Below are 9,421 nucleotides of genomic sequence, written 5' to 3'. Positions count from 1 at the left end.
AGGAAAAGAGACATGGACATAGAGACAGAGACATCTAATATGTATATAACAAGAGATCCAATAAGCATATAATGTTGAAACTGCCTTTGCAATATTACCACAGAGGGAGAAATCTAACACAAGCTGATTTTATCTTGCTTCTAAACACACAAGCTAACTGTCCTGGGCATCAGCCAAGCTAACTATGGGAGGAATTTAGTTTATAGTTTAACTTTAAAGCAAGGATGATAATAGTGCCTTCCTGAAAAAAAGCCTTCTCCTTGTTTGGGGACACAAACTATCTCTGTAAAATTAATGAAAGGCCACAAGGTTAGAATTATGGGAGGTGCCTCAATTCTGCTAAGAACTATGCATAGTTAAGTGATATTCTGCCATTGTTCCCTAGCTTGCTTATTGCTCAGGAGTCAAGTAGCCACAGGCCACAAAATTTGCAGCTTCCCCAGTTGCTTCCATGGAAAAAATCATTATTGTAAAACCTAAGATTGGTTTTTGAGATATTTGTCAGACTTCTGCATTCTGGAGAACTGACTGATGCTACCTGGACCCATTCAGATCTGTAACTCAATTAGTCGATTCTATGACCTCCACCCAGAAACGGACTCAGCACAGAGAGAATTCCAACACTCCTATGATTTCATCCCCAACCAATCAGCAGCACCCATTCCCTAGCCCCCAATCCACCAAATTATTTTTGAAAACCCTAGCCTCCAAGCTGTTGGGGAGGTGGATTTGAGAATTATCTCCTGTCCTCACACTTGGCTGGCCCTGTGATCATTGAACTCTTTCCCTGCTACGGTACCTGCCATTCTCAGTGCAGTGGCTTTTTTGGGCTGTGGGCAAGGTGAACGTGTTAGGCTGTTACAATATGAGAAAACGGAAAATGAAGTAAAAATTGTCAAAGAAATTTGAAAACAATCTACAATGTTGAAGATTTAAGTATAAAGCAAAATGATGAAAGCTGACCTTCAGTTAGATAAGACCTATTGACATTTTGGAACTTTAAGGATAAATATGAAATCACTTTGTATTTAGGCAGAACAATTAGATTGTCTGTGATGGCAGAAACACAATGGCAAAACTCCTCTGTGATTCTCACTGGCTGAGAGTCCTTACTTCTACCACTTCTAAATGCACCCATGTTAGGAACAGTTAACATTCCCTGCTTTCTCCATTTACCATTTTGCTGATGCCAGGTGAAAGTCAGGGACGCTTCAGCTAAATCTGTGTGGATTCTGGAAACTGGCCACTTCCTGAGGCTTTACTGTGACAATTAGAACTGCCTTCTATAAGCTGATAACACTTTTCCGTTTCTGTTTTGATCTGTGGGGGTGGTGAAGGAGGCTAATTAAGTCATGTTGGGAGATTTTTTCCTTTACTCCCTGCACAGGGCTTTTTCATCATCTTTAGTGGTTGTTGTTTGGTAGTTCTTTGCTGCAGTATAGTTTAATTTGTGTTATTCTTTATGAAAATTCCTTAAAGCTGCTGGCATGTGGATGGCACTCTTGCTTAACTTCCAGTGATGATTGCTTATTTCTGTATTATTTTTAGCTGTTTGAGTGGGAATATGTGGCAGGAATGGAGTTAAGTACATGAACTCAGATTGCCAGGGCCAAAAGTCTTCAAGATGACTTCTTGTGGAGGCACTTGCTGTCTGTCAGGGCTCCGGTGTCCTACTTGTGGGAGGTGGGTAAGGGAAAGGATAGCTTTTGATTTAGGTGTGTGTCCCTGAGGCATTTTTTTCCCAAAGGGAAATCACCTGATTATTTTTTATATAATAAGTGCTATAATATATAATTTATGTATTTAAAATTTTATGAAACCTAACATATATTTTCTGAAACTTAAATATGTCTATTAATTGGTGTTTATTTAATTGTGAACATTTTATAAATTATTCTTACTTAAGTCAATGTTTTCCACTTAACCCCAAATTGGTCTCCAGTGTGTTTCTTTTGGCATTCTTTTCTTTTTTTTTTTTCACAAAATAAATACCAGATTTATGTAGTAAAGTCAAAAGAAATGTTTATTCTTCAGAATTTTTTTGCTAGAAAGGTCCCAAAATTTCTTGAACCCTTGGGAAGATCTTTCAATGGGAATAAAGAGCAAAAGAAAAAGACAATAACAATTTCTGTTGCTAAAAATCAGCCATCCATGCTTGTGCCTTTGGAATACTAGTTGTAAAACAACAACTACCACTCTACACAAAAGGCTAATCTGTGCCCTTTACATGGATTTGAAGCTATTCATAGGAAGAGGTAAATTGTTATCTTTCATGCAGTTCTAGGCATGAAATCTACCATCATGTTGGGCAAATATATAGTGTATTTTGGGAGAGACAATACCAGAAATTGTCAGTAAGGACGAGACACCAGGCACTGTATTTAGTATCCCTAAGACATACTTCAAGTTGTATCAGAATCATTGGAACAACAATGATTTTGATGAGACCAACTGCTTATGTACATTACACATACACACATGTCAATTATAATAGTTTTAGAAAGGTAAATTTGTGACTATAGAGACATGAATGGGACGCATTTTTAGCAATATTGTTTCCATTGACTCTGGTTTCTCAGAACACACATCAATTGCAGTCTTTTATGGTGATATGGCCGCTCTGTGCTAATTTCTCTAAAAACAAAAATTTGGGGGGCAGTTAAATCAAGGTCGAATTGTCCAAAGAAGCATTTGCCTACCAGATGCCATTGATCTCTTCTGTGCCTCTTTTCTGGAAAAACTTATGAGTAAAATGTTATCAATCTGATTCAAAGTTTTGTGAGGAATCAACTCATGTTAGTATCATTCTGGTTTGATGCATCCATTTCTATTTTCTGTATGGGTCTCTTTTGTTTTCTAGATTCTAAGATCAGATGAAATCCAGTGACAGCCAGTATCCCAAGACTAGCAAGAAATATGTACATAAAGATCATTTTTTTCTCTCATCAGTTGTAAATATCTGATCAAAGATAGCATATTGAATACATTGCCATTGAAATCTTTGAATTCAGATTCATGCTTAAAGGGTCATTCACCCGTGGGTCTCAGGGAGAAATAAAAAGGGCTCCAGGGTTGCCTGGCTCTGGGTTGGCACTACAGTTTTTAGAACAAGGGCTATGTTACTCTGGATATAAAACTGGAAATTCTGAGGGTGATGGAGTGAGACATCTAGGGATTTAACAAAATCTTCTGTACTCTTGTTTGTAAAGTCTATTAGAAACCTCGCATTGCTGCTTGATTCATCTCCTTTTATAAATAGGGTAGTTCTATCTGCACTTGGTGAGGCTTCAGGCTCACCAGAAGTCTGTAGTGTCATATTTTCCACCTCAGCTTCCTCATTTTTTATTTCAAATCTTTAGTGGTTCTTCATCTGCTCTAAGATCTTGAGCCATTGGTAATCAGGTTCTAGGTCCTCTCATCTGAACAAGAGGGTGGCAGGCAATATAAGAAATACCTGGAGAAAGAGAGGAGGAGCTTTGTGTGGACAGTTGAATGCCCAGTTCAATGCCTTGCGTTCTCCTGGGGCTCTGGCAGTGGCAGTGGTGAAACTGCCCCTATACACTTTATAAAATTAATCAGAGAAGAAGTGAGGGGGAGAAATGAAAATAAACCAAGCTTGCAGCATGATTGACATTAATCATGAAATCAGTGTGCTCTCTGACTTTCTTCCTCATAGTTGTGTGGTGCCTATTGTTGTAGAATAATGTAGACCATGTTACAAGATTATAGTTTCCTTTGACTGCTCTATAGATAACAATTTGAACATTATGAAATGGTGAATTTTTCCTTTGAGATATTATTTTATATCCTGCATACCAGTGAAACGACTGACGTCAGCTGGTCTGAGGGATTCCATTGATGCCAGCTGTCTGAGGAACTCCACAAGAAGCTGACTCATCAAAGAATGCAGTTTCCACGTCCTGATGATTTCATCCCCCTTACCCCAACCAATCAACAACCTCAATTCTCCAGCTCCTCGCTCTCCATGATCCTTAAAAAAACCCCAGCCCAGAACTTCTCAGGAAGATGGATTTGAAGGTCTTTTCACATCTTCTTGCTTGGCACCCCGCAATCATTAAACTCTTTCTCTGCTGCGTTCCTGCTGTCTCAGTGTAATTGATCTGTTACTGCACAGCAGGCATATGAATCTATTGGTCCTATAACAGTGATGTTTCTTTTTATCTAGGCTCTGGTCAGAAGGGCCCCACTGTGGTTATGATTCTCTGTGTAAGAATTTAAACTATGAATCAACTTGGAAAACATAAAAATCAAGATAAAGATCATTTGAAACTCTACTGAATAAAGAGCACATTCTTTATTACATAATGGGCAAATGTTATATCCATTTTGTTCTGGTAGAATTTTAAATTGTAATTCTCCACTCAGAGTTGAGGTAAGGCAGTCTCTGAAATTCCTATTATCTGTAATAAATTTTTGTGATATTCTGCTAAATATTAATAATATATTATGTGCATTTTATCATAGCATTTTTATTCCTTGGGCTTTGCTCAAGGGATTGATACTCTTAGTCCAGGTCTTTATATTGCGGTCAGTGAAAAACAAACCACCAAAGTCAATAATCTTGAGTTTTACAGCTTTTGGGAGCACAGATTGAATTCTCCACAGAGGAGATGACACTAATTCAGCTCTTGATGTAGGCAAGTTGATTCCTTGGCTTAAAGTCAGTGGAATCAAGCTTTGCTTTCCTTAGGTCCATTCTCCTCAATTTCAGCTTACATATCTCCACAGAAAAGAAAAAACTGTCAGTGCTATTTTGCCTTTTATGACAATATTAATACAAACCAAGGAGACAGGGACTGAGTCCTTCCCACCAAATTAACACAAAAACATTCTTTCCTTTGTGAACTGAAAACAACTACAGGTTGAGTATAATCCAAAAATCCAAAATCCCAAATGGTCCAAAATTCAAAATGCTTTGAGCAGCAATGTGACACTCACAGGAAATGCTCATTGGAGGATTTCAGATTTTGGATTGGGGTGCCCAATTGATAAGTATTGGCAAACTTTCCCAAATCCAAAAAAAAAAAAAAATTAAAATCCAAAACATATCAAGTCCTAAGCACATTGCATAGTTGTAAAACCTAAGTTTCCAAAACCTTGGGATGAGCCCTACAAAATTTAATCCTTGTTGAGTTCCCTTGGGTATGCAGTGAATTATTTCCTTACCTCTGAAATAATTTCTTAGTCTCCAGGATGGGTCCTTATAATGGGATCTGAATGGGAACCTCACTTCCCTGAATTCAGGCTGTTTGGTTGGGACTTTATAGAGATTGTAATCTGGTCTACATCTCCCTGGCCTCTTGCTGGAGTTCTCATTCCTGCAAATAGCCTCAGAACTATTGTCAGCTTCCCCTGGTACACATCTTTGCTGGATATTCTCCATTGATTCTTGAGATTCACTCTTTAGCCTTCTCTGTCCTCCTCTGTGCTCTTGCAGGCTGACATTTATGAACGTCATTGTCTGGTCATCCTTGCCCACTTTGGGTTTGGGCAATGGGAGGCATTGACAGAAATTGGAGTGAGGTTTGGGTACTTCTTTCCCAGACTCTCTTTTTGTTTGGGCATCTCTTGATGGTAGCTGCATTCCACTACTACAGACCACATCTCCTGTACAGCAGCTGCTGCTACAGGTCTCCCAGGCTCCAGCAAGAGTTCTAGCTCCCTCCTTGTCATAGGCTGAATAATGGCCCCCAATGATGTCTATATCCTAATTCCTGAAACCCATCAATATTATCTTATATGGAAAAAAGGTCTTTGCAGATGTGATTAAGTTAAGGGTCCTGAGATGGACAGTTTACTTTGGATTATTTAGCTGAGTCCTGAATGTGATTACAAGAATCTTATCTGTAAAAGAGAGAGATAGTGGGGCATTTGACTACACAAGGAAGAGAAAAAAGCCATGTGAAAGGAGCAGGGTCAGAGAGAGAAGTTGTACACTGCTAGCTTTGAAGATAGAGGGAGAGACCTGAGCCTAGGAATTCCAGTTCTAGATGCTGGAAAAGCCAAGGAAATGGATTATCTCTAGAGCCTTTGTAGGGAAAGCAGCCCTGCCAACAACTTGATTTTAGCTTTGTAAGCATCACTTTAGACTTCTGGTATTCAGAAAATAAGAGAAAAACTTTCTGTTGTTTTAAGCCACCGAGTTTGTGGTCAGATTTTTTTTTAGCAAGCCTAGTGTAAATTGTTCCACTGCTGTGAAATCCAGATTGCTTCTTGGCCCCTCAATTGGTCTCCCTTAATCTGCTCCCACCTTTGTGAGATGTCCCATTCATCACACTCTGTTGAGTTACCTTTTAGATCACGGCACTTGTGTCCTGTTGGTACCCTCACAGGTACACCTCCTTTGCTCTGCCAAGGCCAGGAAGATTATGGCTGGAAGTTCTCATTTAAGTTTCAGTGAGTTCCATGAGGGCAAGGACAATGGGTTTTGTTTTGTTGTGCCTGATTTTATAAATAGATTAATTAGTGTAGAAACATTATCAGCCTGCATTTGGGAAAAGTACCACTGGAGCAAGAGACAAAAGGATTCTTAAAGGCTGTCATTTACATTTATGCAAATATACCATATGATCTGAGCTACACATGATCTCACAAGTCTTATATAAATAGTCTTCATGTTGTCAAAGCAAGCGTTTACCTTGCCAACCATGATGTGAAAATGAAATAGTTCAATACTGAAAGAACTCATTTTTAAAATGTTTCAAATAGTATGTGTATTTTTTAACACAGACTTTCTGAACATATTTTCTTCTTTGTTGTTGTCTTATAAGTAACCAGTCTGGAAATGTAGGATTGTCAGAATACATTACACACACACAAACACTTACACACAGTCACACATATACTTGCACACAACATCTAACAGTTTATCTTGTGGTATTTTAGTCCTACTAAAGAAATTGAAAGTCAGTTTATGGTTTTGCAATTGTAGAACATAAGTATATTAAGTGATACTAAGTTGAGGTCCAGAATTAGTCTGTAAGCTGGCAAACTTCTACATTTATCCTCTTATAGCATAACAAAATGTGTTATCCTCTGTAGGATTGATTTAATAGCTTTTATAGATCTGAACCAAGCAATTATTTCCAAGCCCTAGCTATTCTGACCTTTCTCATCGTTGTTACCACCATAAAAAATATTTTGTACACAGTGCTGGGTACTGAACAGGTATCTTGAGCACACACTATCCCTAAACTCTAAACTTCAATCGTTGCTATATTCTTCTGTTCTGAACTGAAAGGTTTTCTAAGAGAAACTCAAAAGCAGTGGACAGGATTTGAAAGTACGTGAAAGAGGTACATGTTTTCAGTGAAATACTTATTTATCTTTCTTTCTACTTATGGGGCCCTTGATTGATAAATTTTCTACAGTCCTCCAAATAATAAAGTTTCTGCTACTTACATTAGCAATCGATTTCCACCTAACCATTCTCTTCAATATATTTTATTTCTTTATAGCACTTATTACCTGCAAAATTATCCCATATCATGCATTTATTTGTTTTTAAAATCTATCTTTTCCACAAGAATGTAAACCCCATGAGGACTGTTACCTACTGCATCCCTAGATGAAAGTTAGAAAGTGCTTGACGTGTGGTACAAATATGACCAAAAAAAAAAAAAAAAAAGATTAAATGAATCATGATGAAATCAACTTTGCTACTTAGGTGGTCAAATAAATAATGTCACAGGTTATTTTGGTGACAAATATATTTATAGCACTACATGTTGTTTTCTGAAAAGAAATTCCTTGGGAAAAAATAACTTACTATGTTGGACCAATAAGTATGTCTCAGATGTATTTCATCATCAAAGCAGATCTGGAGTCAAGGCAATGCACCATCCATCCACAGAAGTTCCATTGTCCAGGAGCCAGGGATGAGTGCTTGTTAACAGCAAAGCTTTACTTTAAACAATTTAAAAACATGCTATAACTCCCAGCTCTTGTATTCCCGAAGTGAGATCAAGGATTAGAAGGCTCCAAGAGTTTCCAATCTCCGTGGAAAATTGGCTGTCACATGGAACGAGATATATACTAACTGATTTTGCCGTGCAATTGGGTTCTTAATGAAAGCAGTATAAAACAAAACTGCATCCCTCTGTATTTCATTTGTGCATCTTGTACCTGGAATAAGATGTAACTGCTGTAAATCTTTGAGTTGGGTTCAATAAAGCAATAATACTGTGCTGTGCAAACTGACCATTTAGCTTAACAACTGATTTGTTACACCATTAACTTGTCCCTTGCCTTGTCTTAGGCCTCTTTGCTAACTGAGTAGTTGTTAACTACTGTAATTAACAGATTCTTCTAAGGGGAAAAACAGCTTAAACTGGGAAGTTGGTGATATCACTGATATCTTAAATGTGGGCATGGAATAATGCATAGATTTTAAAGTTATTAATGTTTCATCATGGAGGTATTGTAGGCCCTCAAAAATAGCTTTAGAAACGAAATCAGCTAAAGAAAAGGCATGTAGAATCATGTCAAGGCTTTGCAATTTGCACCTTACATGTCAGATTTCTTAGCTGCTACTTTAAAAGATCTCTGTAGTCAGATTACATGGTTTGGAAAATGTAGTACTATTATTAAGAGTAGCAGCCATGACATTTATTTTCTCTTATTGACCAGTATACTCTCCGATGTAAAAATATCCTTTACATCCTCTGAAGAAACACATGAAACTATGGAGATGGTCAATTCAGAATTAGAATAAGCTAATGGGAAGATGCAGTGTTGTCTGAGACACCCTGGGCACAGGAAAGAGAATGGATAACTTGAAGCCAGTCCTTAGAACTGGAACAGGGAATGAATGTGCTCTGCTGGTCTCAGGTAGTCCAGCCTGGACTTCAACATCAGAGATAATATTTCCACATCTATACGTAGTACAGCTTCATCAACCTCTAGAGAAATGTAATCCAAACGCTTCATCTTACACAGGAAACTCCATTGTGGTCTACTTTGAAATTTTTTAGTGTACAAAGGCCGTTTTCTTCTGCAAAGCACACTCATCTGAGTATTCTTTTAGAAAACAAGCTATCTGGCAGTTTTTGATATGTGATTTGCCAAGATCATATTAGTCTCCTCTTTCACAAAGATGTTAAGTGAAAAAAAATGAAGCCATAAAAATTTTGGAGGAAAATGCCCACAAATATTTCTATAATTCTGGGGTGAAGGGTATTTTTGAAAAGCTTCCTCAGCATGGCCCCAAAGGCAGAATTCACATTTGAAATGTTCATGCAATTCTACGGTATGAAAATTAAAAACAAACTTCTGAATGCAAAGCCACAATGTTAAAAGGCCAACTAAAAACTGCATAGAAATATTTCAGTGTAAAAAATACAGGTTAATATGCTGATGTATGACATGCCTGTAAATAAATAAGGAAAATAACCTAGATTCC

General features: G+C 37.7%; 1 pseudogene, besides 1 other annotated feature; it reads right to left on the bottom strand.

The window, feature by feature from the left end:
- Positions 2,701-3,460, bottom strand: SSR1P2 (signal sequence receptor subunit 1 pseudogene 2; annotated as a pseudogene).
- Positions 3,182-4,381: an enhancer, noted in NCBI's record as "BRD4-independent group 4 enhancer chr13:75709394-75710593 (GRCh37/hg19 assembly coordinates)". NCBI's record gives its function as "activates an origin of replication core promoter dependent on BRD2, P300/CBP, MED14 and CDK7 cofactors, and independent of BRD4, by STARR-seq in HCT116 cells {active_cell/tissue: HCT116}" and the evidence as "EXISTENCE:reporter gene assay evidence [ECO:0000049][PMID:35650434]".

This window comes from Homo sapiens, chromosome 13, assembly GCF_000001405.40.
Source record: "Homo sapiens chromosome 13, GRCh38.p14 Primary Assembly".
Classification (NCBI taxonomy): domain Eukaryota; kingdom Metazoa; phylum Chordata; class Mammalia; order Primates; family Hominidae; genus Homo; species Homo sapiens.
This window is presented reverse-complemented; position numbering and strand designations above follow the sequence as displayed.